This window comes from Homo sapiens, chromosome 6, assembly GCF_000001405.40.
Source record: "Homo sapiens chromosome 6, GRCh38.p14 Primary Assembly".
Classification (NCBI taxonomy): domain Eukaryota; kingdom Metazoa; phylum Chordata; class Mammalia; order Primates; family Hominidae; genus Homo; species Homo sapiens.
Genome location: NC_000006.12, coordinates 34,918,193 through 34,939,517, shown reverse-complemented (window position 1 = coordinate 34,939,517; position 21,325 = coordinate 34,918,193). Strand labels below are relative to the sequence as shown.

General features: G+C 43.1%; 1 protein-coding gene across 10 annotated transcripts in view, besides 1 other annotated feature; it reads right to left on the bottom strand.

Annotated features, from left to right (window-relative positions):
• The window catches only part of ANKS1A (ankyrin repeat and sterile alpha motif domain containing 1A), a 208,736-nt gene that overhangs the window by 158,473 nt on the left and 28,938 nt on the right, over positions 1-21,325 (bottom strand). The window lies entirely within an intron of this gene.
• Positions 13,225-13,398: a silencer, noted in NCBI's record as "fragment chr6:34893897-34894070 (GRCh37/hg19 assembly coordinates)". NCBI's record gives its function as "represses an EF-1alpha promoter that drives an FKBP-Casp9 reporter gene in an ReSE screen in K562 erythroleukemia cells {active_cell/tissue: K562}" and the evidence as "EXISTENCE:reporter gene assay evidence [ECO:0000049][PMID:32094911]".

Sequence of the window (21,325 nt, the reverse complement as noted above, 5' to 3'; positions counted from 1 at the left end):
ACTAATTACTTCACCATAGTGTATATTATAATATTGCTAAAACAAACTGCACTTGTTCACAATAAAAATATTTACTGAATGCATACCACAACTAAGATGCCCACTGAATCAACAAGATCTGCAGGCAAACTCCACAAACCTGATGAAATACACAGGATCAAATTAAGTAAATTTATTGAGAAGACTTGTGAAATCACTCCAGTGAGGCTGCTGGAGGGGTTCCATTGCCCTGTCCACAGGAGGTGTGCATTCTGATCTGCTCCAACCTGTGAGGTAAAGGGCCTGGCCCTGTAGGGAAGGGCTCCTAGAACAGAGACAATAAAGAAGGTATTCTTTAATTGGCTCCCTTATACTCCTTAAATGCTACCTCCAAAAGAACCTAAAATCAGTGCTCTAAGCCTTAAGTAATCTAAAATCAAATATTTTTAGAAAATTCATAATTATTAGGACAGTCAAGTAATACTCCAATTTTGCAACTACTTATGAGATGAGTTTCAAAGAAATACTTGGTTTTGTTTGTTTGTTTTTCCAAGATGGAGTCTCGCTCTGTCGCCCAGGCTGGAGCACAGTGGCGAGATCTCAGCTCACTGTAACCTCCACCTCCCGGGTTCAAGCAATTCTCCTGCCTCAGCCGTCCGCGTAGGTGGGATTACAGGCGTGCGCCACCACGCCCGGCAAATTTTTGTAGTTTTTGTAGAGATGGGGTTTCACCATGTTGGCCAGGCTGGTCTTGAACTCCTGACTTCATGATCCACCTGCCTTGGCCTCCCAAAGTGCTGGGATTACAGGCGTGAGCCACCATGCCCGGCCCAGAAATACTTGTTTTATAAGACTCTTTCAAACTCAGAGAGGAGAAGACAAACAAACAAAAGCAACGTGGGGACCATTTCTGGGTATCCCAGAATCAGAAAACAAATAAAACTTAAGTAAAAAGTAAAAGTTCAAATTTGACCAAAATAGGCTTCTTGGGGGAGGGATGGAAGAATGAGTGTGTTCGGTTATGTGCATGGCACAGAGCCATGGCCACTAGTGGCACGTGACACACACACACATTTATCCACTGAGGGGCAGAAGTGTATGTACATAAGGAACAGACTGATTTGTGCCAGGGCAGGGGCAATGACACAGCCTTTTCTACAGAGCAATTTCACTCCATTCCTCAAAGGAGAGGACAGCTGTCTTTGAGGAGGATATTGGAGACTCCTCCTGCTCTCTTATTCCAAAAAAGCCTAAATAAGATTGATTTTTTAGGGCCAGTTGAATAGGCATAAAAGGATTGTTCCCAATTTGCTTGATGCCTGAAATTCTTATAAAGAAAAGCTTTTTAAACTGCAATTAAAAATAAATGGCTTATAATGTGCTTTAAAATGGATGAGAGGTAATGTATTTGCTTTGGCTGCATTTTATTTAATTATGAATAAATGACATATCAGACCTTTCCCAGCTTAGATGGAAGGAAGGAGAAAAGAACAGGTCAATAGGTGCCCTAAGTGGAAGAGAGGTCACTACAGAGGGAGGTGTGGGGTAGGGTGGGAGAAGCTGTGGAAGCATCATTTAAAATCATATGCTAGGAAATTCAATGACAAAAGAAAGTGTCCATGATATAAATCAGACCAAGTTAGGGAGCAGTAAAGGCTATGAGGTGTAACTGATTTTGTCCTAATAAGTTTTCCCACTATAGACACTGTAGATTAATTCTCCTAATGCCAGAGTCTGATTATTACTTGCCCACTCTAAAACCTTCGGTGGCATCCTTCAATCTTGAGATGAGGTCAAAACAACCCAATGAAGGATTTCATGCCTTGTGTGAACCAGCCACAACTTCTTTTTTCTGATCTTACTATCTTTATCTCTCCTTTATACCCCATTGATTCAGCAAAATTTAGCCATTCTCTAAACCAGCACAGTTTCTTCTGCCTTCCTCACCTTTCTCCCCACTGTCCCATGCCTCAATTCTCCTCCTCCTTCAAAGGCCGCAGCCTCCACAATAGCATGTCTGATCTTCCTTCCACAGTAAGGGCCTTACCTACATTACATTGTTTAAGCCTCACAATTACCCTGTGAAATAGGTACTTATTATCTCCATTTACCAGATGAGGAAACAGTCTTAGAGAAGTAAAATAATCATACAAGGGCCCTAAGATAATAAATTCTAAAACAGGATTTGAATCCAGCCATTCTTTTTAAAAAAATATATATATATATATTTTTTTAAGATGAGGTCTCGCAATGTTGCACAGGCTGGTCTCAAACTCCTGAGTTCAAGTGATCCGCCTGCCCCTACCTCCCAAAGTGCTGGGATTACAGGGCTGTGCCACTGCGCCCCACCAGAATCCAAGCATTCTGACTCCAGAGCCCAAAGCCATAATGTCAGTCTGCCTTTCAGCACTACACATCCAAAATGACTATCTTCTCTCCTCTGAATTCCCCTTGCATTTTACCTGTTTAATAGAGTAAAAAGGATGTAATATGTATGTATGTATAGGAATGTATATGTATGTATGTAACATGTATGTATCTTTCTAGACTCTAAGCCTCTTGAGATCAAGGTCCACCTACATGAGATTCATCTTTGTATCTGCTAGGTATCCAGCATAGTAGATACCGGATCAAATGTTTGCTGAATAGATGAAGCTACATATCAGTTTTAAGCTTTATTTTTGAAATAAAAGTAGTTTCTTATAGAATTTTAGCTCCCAATAAATTTGCTCATCTAGGTGTCACGGGGAATATATTTCACATGAATTATCAGCAAAGGGGCCATTCATCCTGTACATGTTGGAGATGGAGTGAATGAAAAGTGAGGAAACCGAATATCCTTGGGAGCTATCACCGCCATTATCATGTATTAGAGCCTTCTTGTAGGAATTAGAAACCCAGGGTGTGTTTAAAAATATGGTAGCACTTTGACCATTAAGGAAGGAAACATATTCTAAGCACTAGAACATTCTCATAAAAGGCCTGGCAATGGAAGCAAATGAACTGTTGAAAGAAGACTGGACATGTTTCCCTCAGCCTGGAAGGAATATAGAAAATCTAAAGATAATGACCTCAGTACTATATCCTGAGCCATCTACAGTTGGAGGACCTTCACCAGCTTCCGCTTGACAGTCACAGACCTGAGTGTTCCCGCCTGCTACAAAGGCAAAAAAGGCCCTCCAAAGGCCTCCCTCCACTGTGAGGACAGGCACAATCAGAATCTCGCGCCCTTCAGAGTCTCTACCTCAGTGACAGTGGAGGTCTTTCTACTTCTGCTGCTGCCCTGGCCTGAATTTCTCCATTGAAGGTAAGAGCTGGTTGGCATAATGTGTACTCTTTCAATGCACACTACAGATCAGGGGGTTCTCTGCACTCTAAAACAAGTTCCTGAAATTCCCTTACCAGCAACTAGGGACATGCTAATCTCACCACCACTTCACCAGGAGAAAGTATTTTTTTTTTTTTTTTTTTTTTTTTGAGACGGAGTCTCGCTCTGTCGCCCAGGCTGGAGTGCAGTGGCGGGATCTCGGCTCACTGCAAGCTCCGCCTCCCGGGTTCACGCCATTCTCCTGCCTCAGCCTCCCAAGTAGCTGGGACTACAGGCGCCCGCCACTACGCCCGGCTAATTTTTTGTATTTTTAGTAGAGACGGGGTTTCACCGTTTTAGCCGGGATGGTCTCGATCTCCTGACCTCGTGATCCGCCCGCCTCGGCCTCCCAAAGTGCTGGGATTACAGGCGTGAGCCACCGCGCCCGGCCCACCAGGAGAAAGTATTTTAAATAAGTAATTTGTACCCTCTTTCTTTCAAGGTTCTCCTTATGCAGCTGGCAGCTGAACACGTTAAGTACCAATGAAGCTTTTAATATTATAAAGCTGTTGTGTATTTTATCCACTCGGCCTTTAGCAATACATTAATTTATGTTATGCCTTCAGCATTTGGTTTAAAGATGGGAAACAACTAAAGCTACCGGAAAGGGAGCCCAGATATTTTAAGCAGTTCCCTTTCTCATATTTCAAGTACAGATGACAAAGTCCAACAATATCAGCAAGTCCCAGCTCTGCATAAATCTCATATCAGCAATTTTTAATGCAAACTAACACCAGGGCAATCCCAGTTTTGACTCTGAAGACGGGCATTAAAAAATGTAAACCAGCCAGGCCAAGTGGCTCACGCCTGTAATCCCAGCACTTTGGGAGGCTGAGGTGGAAGGAATGCTTGAGCCCAGGAGTTTGAGACCAGCCTGGGAAACACGGCGAGACCCCGTCTCTACAAAAATTTCAAAAGTTAGCTAGGTGTGGCAATGCATGCCTGTAGTCCCAGCTACTGAGGAGGCTAAGGTGGGAGGATGGCTTAAGCCCAGTTGTTGGAGGTTCCAGTGAACTATGATCACACCACTGCACTCCAGCCTAAGCGACACATCAAGAAACTGTCTTTAAAAAACAAGAGGGAACCAGCCTATCACTGTCCAGAAGAATGAAAACAGAGTTAAATCTCCTAAGCATGTCCAGCAGACAAAACTCAAAATGATTTTCTTACATTAGAGTAAATATGAATGGCTTCACATGGCCACTGTTCTAAGAAGGAAAATAAAAACAAATGAAAGAAGACACCTGAAGAATCCAATGTTTGAAATAACTAGAAAAAGTGACCCACAACAGCCTTATAAAATAAAATGTGAAGGAAAAGGAGAAAAATAGGCTGGGGGTGGGGTGGGAGGTGAAAAGAGAGGGGAATAAGACTAGATTGTTTTAGCTGAGATGTCGACAGGTTCTTGGCCCTAGCCAAAAGAAACAGGTTTCACATGTGTAAGAGCAAGGGAAGCTGGGTCAGAGCCAACTTGTCACGACGCCCACTTTCCAACACTTACTATGAAGCAAGGATTTTTTTCTTCTTGCATGAGATTCCAGGGAAACGGATGTAAGCATGACCGCTGAATGATATGTAACTTCAAATGAGAAAACTGATAATAACCAGACAGGGTCCTAGAGTAATGCCAAAATGATTTAAAGCTAACCAAGCTCTTGGCAAGCTCAAAAGACTTCAGTGACTAAAAAACCAATTTCACCTAGTGTTATAAAGTACCTGGGGGTGGCTGGGCGTGGTGGCTCACGCCTGTAATCCCAGCACTTTGGGAGGCCGAGGCGGGCGGATCACAAGGTCAGGAGATAGAGACCGTCCTGGCTAACACAGTGAAACCCCATCTCTACTAAAAATACAAAAAAATTAGCCGGGCATGGTGGTGGGCGCCTGTAGTCCCAGCTGCTCCGGAGGCTGAGGCAGGAGAATGGCGTGAACCCGGGAGGTGGAGCTTGCAGTGAGCCGAGACTGGGCCACTGCACTTCAGCCTGGGTGACAAAGCAAGACTCCGTCTCCAAAATAAATAAATAAATAAATAAATAAAAATAAAGTGCCTGGGGAACTAAATTGAGGGCTTCCTTCCACATCACCTCTCTGGAAAATGCTTTAATTTGTATGGAGTATAAGAGAAAAAACAAAGCTTTTAATTCTCCAACGTACACAGTTATCTGGCTGTTTCTTCCATTCTTCTCCCGTCTCCATTTCATTCCTCCTAACACCATGGTATCTTGGTTTAGGTCCACAATTTCTGAACAGCAGCCCTAAAATATCAGCTATTGACTGCCGTATTCAAAGAAAGCCACAAGACTCTCAAATAAAAATAATGTTTAATTGCATTAATTCCATCTAATTTGTTAGTATTTTTTCAAAGGCATTAGCCCTGACAATTCTTTTGGAAGATGTCAGTCAAAGCAACAAAAGGGTTGGAAGAAACTAGAACACTGGTATGCTATCCAAGGAAGTCAACTGTTTGAAGGAAGGGCAGTTGCTTCCAAAACACTGTTACAGTTTTTCCATGTATAAATTTATTTAAAAACAGCCTTTTCCCTTTGGGAGGCTGAGGCGGGCGGATCACCTAAGGTCGGGAGTTTGCAACTAGCCTGACCAACATGGAGAAACCCCGTCTCTACTAAAAATACAAAACTAGCCGGGCGTGGTGGCCCATGCCTGTAATCCCAGCTACTTGGGAGGCTGAGGCAGGAGAATCGCTTGAATCCAGGAGGCGGTGGTTGCAGTGAGACGAGATCGCGCCATTGCACTCCAGCCTGGGCAACAAGAGCGAAACTCCATCTCAAAAACAAAACAAAACAGCCTTTTCTCCATCATTCTATGCATTTAAAATCTTTCTATGCTTCCATTACTAATAGCAAGTGTCAAAAAAAATCTATTTCGCCAAAGACATTTCGTCCACAAAAGTAGTGATAGAATGATCACGGACATAAATTTGAATTCCAGACTGCCAAATAAAACTTCCAAAGAGGAACTACTCATACAACTCAACAACAGAAAGGCAAGTAACCCAATTCAAAGATGTCCAAATGATTTGAAAAATCATCTTTCCAAAGAAGATACACAAATGGCTAATAAGCACACAGAAGGATGTTCAATAGTAATAGTCATGAGGGAAAGACAAATCAAAAATCACTTTATATCCACTAGGATAAAATAAAATGGACAATAACAAATGTCAGTGAGTATATGGAGAAATTGGAACACTCATACATTTCTGGTGGGATTGTAAAATGATACAGCCACTTTGAAAAACAATATAGCAGGTCCTCAAAAAGTTAAACAGAGTTAACATATAACTCAGCAATTCACTCCAAGAGAAATGAAAGCATAGGTCTACACAAAACTTTGTATATGGATGTTCAAAGTAGCATCATTCACAAAAACCAAAATATGGAAACAACATAAATTTCCATTAACTGATGAATGGATGAACATATGGTATACTCATACAATGGAATATTATTTGGCAATAAAAAAGAAGAACTGCTGGGCATGGTGGCTCATGCCTGTAATCCCAGCACTTTGGGAGGTTGAGACGGATAGATCACTTGAGGTCAGGAGTTTAAGACCAGCCTGGCCAACATGGTGAAACCTCATCTCTGCTAAAAATACAAAAATTAGCCAGGTGTGGTGATGCACGCTTGTAATCCCAGCTACTCAGGAGGCTGAGGCAGGAGAATCTCTTGAACTTGGGAGGCGGAGATTGCAGTGAGTCAAGATCGCACCACTGCACTCCAGATCCTCAGGCGGATCGCCTGAGGAGTTCAAGACCAGCCTGGCCAACACGGTGAAACCCTATCTCTGTTAAAAATATAAATAGCCAGGGGCGGTGGTGGGTGCCTGTAATCCGAGTTACTCGGCAGGCTGAGGCAGGAGAATTGCTTGAACCCGGGAGGCCGAGGTTGCAGTGAGCTGAGACGCACACCACTGTACTCCAGCCTGGGCAACAGAGCCAGACTCCATCTCAAAACAAAAAACAAAAACAAAACAAAACAAAAACCAATATGGTTAAAAGAGAAAAATTACTCTGTCCAAGGCAGATTTGAGGCTCGAACTGAAGTCAGGCTTACTCCTGTGCCAGGTCCTCCAATCTCTGTACCTTAAAATTTGTCAGAACCACCTCAAGGCCATCCAACTGGCCATTGGCCACTGGCCTCAGCACCTAACAGTCCACCCCATCCCTTCTCTAGAGGCTATCAACTATTTTAAGATACAGATTTGTATCTGTAATATATGCTCATTAAATTCTGAATACTGAAAGGAATAATCACACGTTTATTAATCTACTGTTTTGTACTTCTTACTCACCAACTTTCCTGCCTTTTAGCTCTCTGCAAGTGTCCTTCACAGAAACGGGTGTTATTTAATGAGCCAACCTATGTGTTCATCTGAGCATGAATTTTCCCAGACTTGCACCTAGATTATAGGGGGTATCCTCCATGAAGGAAAGAGTGCTACACAAATTGGGCTTCCTCCCTTGCCCTAGACTGGTTGGAAGAAAAAGTACAGCAATTTCCCTCCTCTAACCATTTTGAGTCTCCTAGCTTTTTGAAGATTTAAAAACCACCTAAGATTGTGGCTCCATGAAGTAATGCCATTTGTAGAGAGTAAAAAAAGCAGAAGGGGAGAGAGTAGGGGTCCTCTATGCAAAAATAAAACTTGCTTCTGAGAACTCTCAAAGCTAAGAAGGCATAAAAGGTCCAATATTGAAAACAGCCTTAGGCTGGGCACGGTGGCTCACTCCTGTAATCCCAGCACTTTGGGAGGTCAAGGTGGGTGGATCACCTGAGGTCAGGAGTTCGAGATCAGCCTGGCCAACATAGTGAAACCCCATCTCTACTAAAAAATACAAAAATTAGCCAGGTGTGGTGGTGAGTGCCTATAATTCCAGCTACTCAGGAGGCTGAGGCAGGAGAATCGCTTGAGCCTGGGAGGCGAAGGTTGCAGTGAGCTGAGATCGCACCACTGTACTCCAGCCTGGGTGACAGAGTGAAACACTTTCTCAAAAAAAAAAAAAAGAAAACAGCCTTGGGAGGCTGAGGCGGGCGGATCACCTGAGGTCGGGAGTTCAAGACCAGCCTGACCAACATGGAGAAACCCTGTCTCTACTAAAAACACAAAAATATTAGCCAGGCATGGTGGTGCATGCCTGTAATCCCACCTACTCAGGAGGCTGAGGCGGGAGAATCGCTTGAACCCAGGGGGCAGAGGTTGTAGTGAGCTGAGATCTTGCATTGCGCTCCAGCCTGGGCAACAAGAGCCACACTCCTTCTCAAAAAAAAAAAAAAAGACTTTATGTGAGATAAGCATAAAACTCTTCCCTCAGCCAAAGTAACAGGGAAGAAGTGTCATTTCTGATGAGCAGCTTACAAGCGAGGAAGGGGCCTCAGCTACATCAGTGGCTGTGGTAACAGAAACGAGGCAAGTTGATACTTCTTAGGAGATATAACGTTCCCAAGTTTAAAAAAGTATAAATAATTTCCATGAGAGGAACTGCACAAAAACAGAGAAAATGGCTTTGCCAGAAACAAGCAGAACAGAGAGAAAAGATAAAGGAAAGAGGAGAGACAAACCAGAGCCCACCAGAGGACATCTCGCTCAACCCTAATGTAACTCTATGTGGTAAACATTAACATCCCTTTTTTACACAAAAAGCAACCTGGGATTTGGAAGAATAAAACAGCTTGCCCAGGTCACACACACAGGGAATGTGCAACAGGGCCGAGTCTGAACCCTGTTCTGCTAAGGCTCCACAGCCTGGGCTGGCAGCACCACATAGACAATCCGTTCACCTTCCTTCCTGCTGAAGCTTCCCTTCCTCATTCCATCTTTCTGTGCTTCATCTACTTATGTTGCTGAGCCTCCAAACATAGCCCAGGAGAGATGTACCTACCACCTCTAAGTCCCCCCACAGTAAGGTAATGAAAAAAGTGTAAAGGTCAATATTAAAAACAAGATGATGAATATTCCAATAGACTTGGAGAGAGTTCAGAATATTGGGAGATGATCCCATTAGATGTGAAAACCAACTTCCTGTGCTGGAAACTACCCATTGGCATAACAGGATGAAGACCAAAACCTTTTATTTAGTAAAACGATCTTCTGGAATCCAAGGGGGAAAGGTAACAGCTATCGATGAAAGATAACTAAAAAGAAAAATCCCATTCATGAATTTCAGATGTCATAGAGCAGGAATGTGGAGAATAAGCCAGGACTATAGGGGAAATAAGTAGGATAGAAAGTAAGGCCTAAGCAATGAAGGATAGGAAGCAACAAAGCAAAACAAACACACAGAGAAAGAGACAGAAAGAGAGAGAAAGAGAAAGAAAGAGAGAAAGAAAGAAAGAGAAAGAGAGAGAGAGAAGGAGGAAGGAAAAGGGGAAGGGGGAGGGGGAGGGGAAGGAGAAGGGGAGGAAGAGAAAGAAAGAAAGAGAAGGAAAGAAAGGAAAGACCTAATGGAAAAGGCACTTTTTAGCAGTGTGATTATGAATCTTCATAATTTAAAAGTCATGGTTAATCAGGATGGTCTTTACAATAAAAAGGTAGAGTATTTCAAAAGGATAAAGAAATAAGAACCAAAAAATCTAAGCAAAGTGGCAGATTGCTAAGTATTCCAAATGACATTGATGAAAAACAAAACTGCACCACTAGAATAGATATCTGTATGCCAAACTAGAGACACGTGAACGGCACAGGTGAATGGAAAGCAAGCCAAGTTCCCCATCTAGCATATCTGCAAATATGATCGAGAATGATGGGAGCTTTTCCAGGCAGATACTGCTAAACAGGGAAATCAAACATGGGTGGAATACATTTATTCATTCGTCTATTATAATCTTATCAACTCCTACCATGCAAGGTACTTTTGCTTATAAGAGTCAAAAGTACATAAAATGTAACCAAAAAGGACCAAATGAAACCATTACTACCACCACATACAAAAAAAGTATTGAAAGCCTGCTAGTACCAACAGTACTCATTCCTTACTTACTCCATTCCAGATCTCATTCGAAGTGCTTTATAGTAAAGCCTTTATGAAGGTATGCATTAGCATCTTCACCTTATAGAAAAGGTTAAATAACTAACCCCAAACCTCACAGCCACTAAACATATACCTGCTCACTTTTCCATAATATCTTTAGTAAACAGATTTCTGAGATTTCTAAGAAACTGAGGCTTAAAGAGGTGAACAGACTTGCCCAAAGGTGCATAGCTAGTATAAGTGGGCACAGCCAGTGTTCAAACCAGGCCCATGGGACTCAAAAAAGCACCTGCTCCCTCTTATGTTACCATGTGACTTTCCTAAAACAACTTCTTCATTAGAACTCAAAAGAGGAAAAAGAAAATGCCACCTTGAAAATGGCAGCTCTGGCTAACTGAAGGGAGATGGTGAAACACAGTGAGTGAGCAGACACCCCAGAATCCCCTGCCAGGATTCAAATCCCAGCCACGCCAATAACCAGATGTGCAACTCCAGGCAAACTTAACTGTGCTGTGCCTCAATTTCCTCATCTGCAAAACAGAGTAACACTCTACCCTCCTAATAGGGGTGGGTTGTGAAAATCAGAGATTAAATGGAAAGTATTAGAACAGTGTGGGACACAAAGCAGTGAGCAAAAAAGAGAAAAAAAAAAAGACTCCTCTAAAAATAATTGAGACAAAGCAAACATGGATAAGGTCCTTAACTCAATCCACCCTGCTGTGATAATGCTTTTACTTGGGAGTTTGGGATAAAGCCTTGGCCTGGGGGAAACCAGGGCTCTTTCTTATCCTAAAATTACAGCCTTCCGTGACAGAGTGCTCCTGACAGGGTGATTCTGAGCATGAAGCTCCGAGTCTTTTCAGAGGATCCTGTGAGGCCTGGGGCTGTAAAAGGCTGCTCTCTTCTTCCACTGTGCTGTGTCTTCTAAGCAGGAGGGCTACGCAGAGATTGGAAATAGCAGAAGTCTGTGGTTCATGCATACAGAGATGGGAAGACAATATTCCCAATCTCCATCAAGATTTACAGGCTTCCTTATGAAGGGAAAACAGGTTTGAAGCCCAAGTCCCACTGGACACTCTGAAAAGCCTTTGGCTCAAGAGGATCAGAGGGAGCTGGCAGTAAGGTTGAATAGTAGCCACTAAGAAGCCAGTACCGCATGTGGGGTCTGCATCAAGTGGACCAGGTGGAGCTGGATACCCTGTGAATGAATGGGGAAAATGCCAGCCTTGCCTACTGCTCCTGGATTCAAACTGCAGCCCAAAAGAAGCCATCTCAGTTTGGAAAATGGGCTCCTCTTGGTTGTAAGGGGTGGGTGAGGAACTGCTCTCCTGTTTACACTAAACCTTCCCTTAACCAGCTCCTCCTGCCCACTCTCCTCCCTCTGACCAGTTTTTTACACAGCCATTCAGGCAGGATTAGAGGCTCAGGTCACCTTGCACTTGTCTCCCTTGCACCTCCATCAGTCATCAAATCCTGTACATTACAGTACTGTTTCAAAACAATACCAAGACTTACACCTGCCTCTTTATGCCCAAGGCTGTCACTTAGTCCAGCTCCAATGAGGTGAACTATCAGAACGGCTTCCTGGCTGGCTTTCCGACCCGTGCCACAGCTCCTCACTTCAGCCCACCCTGAAAATCCACACTTGACTCATCTGCTTGAACTTCAAGTTCCTTTGGTCATTTCACAGCTCAGAAATCCCTAGTGGCCCAAATGAGCATCTGGTGCCCCTGTATAAAAACTAATCTTTAGTGCCCATTTATCAATATCCCTCACCTCCCATCCCCAAAATCACATACTCAATCTAGTTTCCCATTACCCTAGTCAGTTTCCTTACAGAGTCTAGGACATAACAATTTCTTCTGCGTCCTTATGCACATTGTCCCCTTGTCTGGAACACCATCTACTATTGTTCTCTTAGAGCCTGACTCAAATCTTCAACCCATTTCAAGCCCCACCAAGAAAGCCTCTCCTGACCACACATCCCTCAACTTACCTTCTCCATTTCTGAATTCCTCCAGCACTTATACTCTGCACCACACCATTTTACGTAATATGATTTAGTACTCTGTATATACCAGGTACCATTCAAAGTGTTCTACAATTATTTAATCCTTACAACTATCTGATGGAATTATTCTCATTTCACAAATGGACAAACTGAGGCACAGATAGGTTAACTGGCCCAAGGTCACACAGCAGGAAATCCTGGAGCCAGAATTCAACCTGGTGTCAGAGCCACACACCTAACCACTAAATAATTATAAACTACTTCATACTGTACCATAATTGTAAGTGACTCAGTACCAGCATCCATGCTACTGAGTCACTTACATTCCCCACAGCCAAGCCCCAAAGTTGCACACTATCTAATATTCTGTAACTGATGACAGGAAGCAAGCTCAAGCCCCCAATCAGGGACTGGCTCTGGTGCTCAGCAGCAAATGAAAAAAGAGCTTTTCTCCTCCTGGAAGAGTGAGGGGCACCAGTGTTAACAAGGCTGCAATGAGCCATTGCACCTTTTAAATAACATCTACCTAATGTAAGTGTTCCAATATAAAAATCTACCTCAAGCACAGAGACAGACCACACTTTGTCTGTCTTTGTCTGCATACTTTGCACCTCAAAGTCCACAGCCCAGGGGTCAAGGATTCTACAATGAGAAATTCTTGTTTTAAGGTATTCGAATTAGCTGCATGACAAGTCAGAAGGGGTCACCAAATACAAAAGTTTCCATTTTGGGAACTCTATGAAGAAGAGAATCTGAAGGATTCTCTTTCTCCCTTAAACACACCCCATCACAGGCATGAATGGTCCAGGGAAGCCTCAGGTGGCCCTCACAGTTTCTCAGCTACCACAGGAAAATTTCCCATGCTGCTGCCACCCAGAGAATGGAGGTTTGCCCCTGAAAGTCCAAGACCCCAGCAGGCCCTGCCCTTCTCACAGGTGAGCATCCTTCACCTGTGTCCTCTGCACGGTGGCACACCCATAGCTGGGAATGTCAAAGCTTCTTTACTATAATTTGTCATCATCAGAAAATACAAACCATACCACAGAGGGAACTACACAAATCCAGTCCTAGTTATAATTTTACTTCACATTGGCCTAGGACAGGTTAACACATATAACAAGACCTGAGCCTTTTACAGCCTCCTCTAGTTTTACTTCCTAACTTGAATTCCATTCCTGATGAAAATTCCTCAAGACTCTCTAAAGGAGAATTTCTCAACCTCCGCCTACTGACATTTTTAGTCAGATAATTCTTGGTCATGGGAGGCTGCCTTTGTATGCTGTATGAAATTTATAGCATCCCTGGTCTCTATTCACTAGATGCCAGTAGCACCCCACTAAGTATGACAACCAAAAACATCTCTGGACATTGCCAATGTCCTGGGGTGAGAAGGGGATGGGGAAGGTGCCAAAATTGCCCTGGCTGAGAATCACTTCTCCAAAATAACTAAAGAAAGCTCCTTTGGGTCTGAATCCCACAGAGTATCCCTCTCCGCACCCAGTATCAGGCTAAAACTATTTTTCCCTCATACCCCATACACCATTCTCAGGGTTCTATGGACAAAGTTTCCCTGAACTAGATTCTCCAATTCCTGGCAAGGAGGCTCTTCCTCCATGTCTTGTCATTTAAGCCTCTTTCAGGCTTTCTCAGCTATTTCTCTAGAAAGGTTCTAAGTCGGCTACTCACTTACCCCGGGTCCAACAGTTTATGCTCCTCTCACGTACAGAGCATTGAAGGCCTTTGCCCCAAGGCCCAATGACATGCTCATTTGCTGCTCACAGCCAGGGCCCAACCAGACTCTCCTTCCCCTCACCCTTGATGTCATCTGCCACATAGGACTTGAGGAAAGCCATTCTATGGGCAGAGACTGTGGAGAGGAATGACACCACTTAAGGGAGAAAACTGTACTAAAAGAGCATTTATAGAATGCCCAAAACAAAAAGACTTTTAATTAATCATTTACAGAGGACAGGAAAGAAAGAAAAAGCCTACTAAGATAGTCAAACCTAAAAAAACAAGATGTTAATATGAAACTACGGCTAATACAGACCAGTAAGGTGAATTAAGTCTCCTTGTAAATTAATTCAAGGAAGAAATATAAGAACACTTGAAAAGCCCAGTAGAAATAAATATTACAGTAACTGCTGAGTTGCCTGTTTTAAAAAATTAGTCTTCAACAATAAAGAGGCAAAAGATCTATATAATTAGGCAGGGGAAAAAAAGTGATAGTAGAGGCAATTAAGACTCCTGAAATCGGCCAGGCGTGGTGGCTCACGCCTATAATCCCAGCACTTCGGGAGGCTGAGGCAAGTGGATCACTCAAGCCCGGGGAGTCTGAGGTTGCAGTGAGCCAAGATGGCACACTGCACTCCAGCCTGGGTGGCAGAGCAAGACCCTGCCTCAAAAAAATTTCAAAAAGGACTCCTGAAATCAGGAATCTTGAATATTCCGATGCTTGTTCTAATTTGTAAACAATGAATAAATACACTAACAGATTCCTCTGCCTTTGTTTCTCCAGTCATTTTGTCTCTTCCTCAAAGGACAAAGGAGGTCCTTTGTCATTTCAGACAGATTTTCTTGAAATGGCAGGAGTCACCGATTTGGAAATTCAAAAGACCCTGTGCCAATGGTTGCCAAACCACCTACAGAAACAGTAGTGCTGCAGGGAAATGAGAAACTTAAACTAAACCAGTTACCCCAAAGAATGTCTCCTTTAGATAGGGTTAAAGGCTGAGAAAAACAGGAAAATGCCTTTGTAGAAACTTTTTGGAAGGCAGCTAGCTATGCTCACCACTGCAGAGGCTTTTGGAGTAGAGAATGTATACAAATCTTCAACTTTTTTATGAGGACTATAATGACAACTGAGGGCTATAACATTCAGGTCTCTGGAACCTATAAATGCATCATAACAAGAAACTTGAAGATAGTTGAAAGAAAACCTAAAGGAAAATGTATTTAAAAACCACACCCTGACCAACTTCTCAGCCGTCACAGACCTGGCTGGATGGTTCATATTAACACCCACAAATACAGGGGAAAAGAAAAATACACACACACACACACACACACACACACACACACACACGAAAAAGCCCCCTCTATTCTATGTCAAGTGCAATAGATCCTGGGAGGCCATGGGGCCAAGCCAACATTCCCAGTGTATCCACTGTCCATACAGCTAATTTTTTTGCAACCTCCTCTAGATTTCTGGAGCCCCTGCCTCTGTAAGACGACTTGGCCATCAGAAAAAAGTGTAGACATTCTGCAAACAGTTTGCTGGCTCTTTGAGTATGCAGCAGTGAGAGGCCATGGGGAGCGGTCCTGAGCAATGAGCCAGATATTGGGCACAATACATGCACTTAGAAAAGGGTCAAAGAGTTGGTCCATCTTCCTCTCTCCATCTGAATTCAGGAGTCATTTCCTCTGGTCTCACAGGAAGGAAGCACCTCTCTTCTCAGGCTCTATCTCCCCCATAACCTGCTCACTCAATCATATCTATGATATAGCTTGATAGACCTGAGTTTAAAACTATACAATTTAATAGTAGTCTTGGCAAGTTGTTTAAACTCTAAGCCTCTGTTTCCTCATCTGTAAAAGGGGGTCTGGTTACCTACTTCCCAGGGTTGCTGTGCAGACTGAATAAGATAGAACAGGAAATGCTCTTCTGCCTGTACCTGGCACACAGTAAGCATTCAATATGTGATAACTACTAACATTATTCCAGAAATCTTTGATTTCTCCCTTTCCATCAGGTTCTTCCGTTGACTTTAGACATGGTCAGAACCGGGTTCCCAAAGACGAAAAAGCCTTCATTGGCCTCAAGGTCCCTCAACCTACCTTATTTCAACTATTCCTGACCTTGGAACACAAACTTTTAAAGTCAGTATTCTATACTTGATAGCAGACTCCCCACCCGTGGCTTCGCTGCAAAGCCCCTCAAGGCAACACTCACTTTTCCCCACTTTAATGGAACATAATCTCAAAGGCCAGCAATGTATTCAATCACAAAATCTGAATTCTGTTTTGGTTCTCCTTGATCTCTGAAGCCCTCAGTACGGTTGGGCAACCTTTCCTCTCACCACGCATCGTAGTCTTTCTAGACGTCTTCTTCAGCTCCTACTGGCTTTTGCTGTGGTGCCTTCTATGGCTCCTACCTTTGCCCCTGGGCTAAAGAAATGGCCTGGAGGCTGGGCACAGTGGCTCACACCTGTAATCCCAGCACTTTGGGAGGCCGAGAGGGGCGGATCACAATGTCAGGAGATCAAGACCATCCTGGCCAACAGGTGAAACCCCGTCTCTACTAAAACACAAAAAATTAGCCAGGTGTGGTGGTACATGCCTATAGTCCCAGCTACTCAGCAGGCTGAGGCAGGGGAATCACTTGAACCCAGGAGGTGGAGATTGCAGTGAGCTGAGATCGCGCCACTGCACTCCAGCCTGGCTACAGAGTGAGACTCCGTCACAAAAAAAAAAAAAAAAAAGAAATGCCCAGATTCAATCCTCCATGCTCTCTTTCTCTGCACAAGTTTGCTCACAGGGACACAGTCAACCTCACAGCAGAACCTATCTCATCGTCTGTCAGGATGAGTCACAGAGCTATAAGGGCTTTTATGTTGTGTGGAGGAAAGTCTTCATCCTGCAAAGACAGATATGACCTCTGCAAAACTGCTTAAAATGCAAAGCCAGGTGTGCTCATTGAGGTGGGAAGGCAATGTCTGTGGCCAAAACAACGTGTGAAAACAATAGCTTGAATTGGTAGGTTTACAAAATCTCCAGCCCTGACAGTACAATGTAGTACTTGGAATGTGACCTCTGGTGCCAGAATGAATCCTGACTCATCCACTCAATAGCTCTATGACCTCAGACATATTACGCAGCCTCTCTCACCTTAGTTTCCTCATCTGTAAAATGGGGATAACAGTGCCAATGCATATGGCTTTACATGGGGTACATGTAAAGCATCAACACAGTGCTTAAAATATAATAAGTGAACAAGCAACTTTAGTTGCAACTGTGTTCTTCTTACTTTTATATTCAGAGTCTTGGTCAAAAACATATGTCATCCCAGCCACTCAGGAATCTGAGGTGGGAGGATCCCCTGAGCCCAAGAGTTCGAGCCCAACACAAGGAGACCCTATCTCAAAAAAAAAAAAAAAAAAGGAAGTCAATTAAGATGTCCTGGCTAGAAGCAGTGGCTCACACCTGTAGTCCCAGTACCTTGAGAGGCTGAGGCAGGAAAACTGCTTGAGGCCAGGAGTTCAAGACCAGCCTGGGCAACATAGCGAGACCTGTCTCTACAAAAAAATTTTTTAGTTAGCTGGGCATGGCGGTGTGCACCTCAGTCCTAGCTACTCAGAAGGCTGAGTGGGAGGATCGCTTAAGCCCAGGAGTTCGAGGCTGCAGTAAGCTACGATTGTGCCATTGCACTCCAGCCTGGATGACAAAGTGAGACCCAAAGTCTTCATCAGCTGCTACATTTGGAAGCTCCTCTCAGCAGTCCTTGTGCCCCTCAGCTTGGGTGAGAGACTAACGACAAACCAGATAGGGTGAAGATTCCTTTGGTACCATGTAGGTCCACCAGGCCCATTGCACTAGAAATAGCTCAGCAGATGGATGCTAATCATCTGAGACTGTGTCATTTCCAAGTTATTGTTTTCTAAATATGCAAATAAAAAATTAAAATGTAGCGATGTTATAAAAAGGCTGGAACTCTAGTGATTCTTAGCATAGAAAGTAGACATTAAGTTGCTCATCAGCTTATCCTACTAATCTAAAGGCTTTCTACAGGGACAATAAACCCTACTTTCTAAGCCCGTGTATTTTGTTGCTTAAAAAACCATGTTCATCCACTAAGGAAGAGGCTTAATAAAAATAAAAAACAAACGAAAATGTGTTCAGAAGAGACTATGATTTGACCCAAAGGCATATTTTGATAAAGAAAGTCTTGACATAGGCTATCCTTTAGATATGTTGTGTAAGTTTTCTGTATCAATCAGAAATCCAGGTGGCCTATGGGGCATAATTAATTCTATTTTTAACTTTTGGACAAATGAAGAAATGAAGCTATAAAAATGCAGCTCTCTTCTCCTCAAAGTTCCAATGCTTATTGTGTTTGTCCATAATCCTTATCTGCCTGCATGATAGTCTCATTGTTTTGTGCTATTCAAGTATTGCAACTGCACAATATAAAACCATAGCCAACTCAGTACCTCCCCAGCAGAAAGAATGAATCCCTTTAATGATCATTTTTGAAGTTTAATTGTGCAGCTCCCTAGAGAAGAGGTAGTAAGGCCCTGGGACAGCAGCTTTGGGCAGGGAACCAGTCAGCCAACAAGTGCTCAGCAAGGCGGTGAGTGAAAATATTATGTGCCATGAAGCCAAACAGAACCAGGTTAGAGCCGAATGACTCTGAGCACTTTACATCATTCTTTTATTTTTCTTTTCTTTTTTTAAAATATCACTAGGCTCTCCTTAGGAACTTTACATAATTCTTAAATGGGTATCTTAGCACCCAATTCACAGGAGTTAGGAGGCAAATTCAATAAGAATGTATCTAAAAAGCCTACTTAATGCCTCACACAAAGTAGGCTTAATGAATAGCATTCTTCATTCCAAACACCTTGGTGCATCTTTAAAAACTGCCTTAATGAAGGCTGAGTCTATCCAGGTGTAATCTCACACCTATAATCCCAGTGCTTTGGAAGGTCAAGGCAGGAGGATTTCTTGAAGCCGGGAGTTTGAGACCAGCCTGGGCAACAGAGCAAGACCCCCATCTCTACAAAAAATTTAAAAATTAGCCTGGCATGGTGGTGCACATCTATAGTCCCAGCCACTCAAGAGGCTGGGGCAGGAGGACTGCTTGAGCGCAAAAGTTCGAGGCTGCAGTGAGCTATGATTGCGCCATTGCACTCCAGCCTGGGCAACATAGCAAGACCTTGTCTCTAAAAAATAAAGAAAGAAAAACAACAAAAAAAACTACTCTAATGAGAAGATGGGGAAACACAATTTTAAACCTCCTTACTTATGACAAAACAGGCAAGCAGACCCACTCATCAATAAATCAATAGCAATTTAATTAGGAACTCTTAAAAAACAAAAACTAACAACAACAAAAAACCTACCCTAACATCTTCAAGCGGATATGGCTGTGGCTGACAGACCTTACCTACTTTCAAGGAGCTTGCCATCTAGAAGTGGGTAGAAATAAGCAAACAGGAAATTACAATATAGCATAATAAAGGCAATGACAGGAGTTCTAGAACAGGCCCTCTGGGAGTACTTTGGAAGGGCCCCCTCAAGCAGAACTGGGAAGACTTCCTGCAGGATGTGACACATAAAAATGATAATAATAGCTAACTAACAGTTGCCAAGAAGCTACTATGTGCTAAGAATATACTAAGTGCACTGTGGATTACCTCATTTAATTCTCAGAACAACACAGTTAGACAGCTACTATCATTACCACCATTTTAAAGATGAACCAAAGAGGTTAAGAAACTTGCCCAAGGTCATACTGCTAGCAAGTAGCAGAGCTGGGATTTGAACCCACACAGCCTCCAGAGTCTAGGCACTTCACCACCACCAACTGCATTTTCTAAAATGAGCCCAAAAGCTGTTAAAGATTGAAGCATGGGAAGTTCTGTAGGCAAAGAGGCATGTGTAGAGGTCTAGATGCAAGACAGAGTAGGGCCCAGGTTCAAGGGAATTGCAAATGGCATCGTTCCCAGTACAGAGAAGGCACTTAATATTTGTTAAATTAATATTGAAGCATCTAGTGCAAAGCAGTGTGGGAAGAGAAGTGAGCCAGACTGCAAAAGTCTCAAAGACACAGTAAGTTTGGACTCAAGGCAAGCCAGGAGACTGAAAAGGTGCTCCAGGTCAGTATTTAATTTTCTGTTAGAAACAACAATCTCCTGGGGGAACCTTCACAAGGAACTGTTTTCCAGCTTTTTGAACTACAAACATTGTGGTTTACCAACCACAACTAAAACTTTTTCAGGATCAAGTCTTTTAAAGTGTATATAAGGCTGGGAGCAGCACTCATGCCTGTAATCCCAGCACTTTGGGAGGCCAAGGCAGGTGGATCACCTGAGGTCAGAAGTTTGAGACCAGCCTGGCCAACATGGTGAAACCGTGTCTCTACTAAAAATACAAAAATTAGCCGGGCATGGTGGCAGGCGCCTGTAATCCCAGCTACTTGGGAGGCTGAGGTGGGAGAATCGCTTGAACCCGGGAGGCGGGTGTTGCAGTGAGCCAAGATGGCGCCACTGCACTCCAGCCTAGGTGACAGAGCGAGACCCTGTCTCAATAAAAAATTAAATAAAAAAAATAAAGTGTATATAAAGCTCAAAATGTAACAGTAACCAAAGTCACAGTCAATATGCTATAGTTACATGGTGTTCCGTTAAAAAAAAAATTTCATGTGTGTTGTCAGCTTTTTGCTTCAACAGATCAGAAGGAAACAATACTTTTAATGAGACAATACAATTCAGGAAACAGATTTAGTAGCCATCCTTAAGGAGATCTTGAGACAATATGCTCAACGTCGTAACTTCTGATGGAACCGATCCTGAGATACCTTCTGCTGCCTTCTTTTCTTCATCGTGATTTTCTACATAGAATGCATAGACATGCACTGGGGATGAGCTTGGTGGCAGCCATTTGATCAGCCCCGTAGCTTCACTCGCAGAATAGTTATAAAGCTAGCATTTAATAAGCACATACCACGTGCCAGGTGCTGTTTGGAACATCTTCATTTGTATTATTTCCTTTGACCCTCATGGTGACTGTGTATGTAGATACTATTACCACCCCCATTTTGGAAGTGAGAAAACTGTAGCACAGGAAGTTTAACTTACCACTAAGTGGAGAGCTGGCATTTGAACCTAGGCCAACTGGCTCCAGAAACCATACTCCGAACCACTACACACACGACTTCTCCCACATCACACCTACCTTCAAAATGGAATCAACAATCCACATC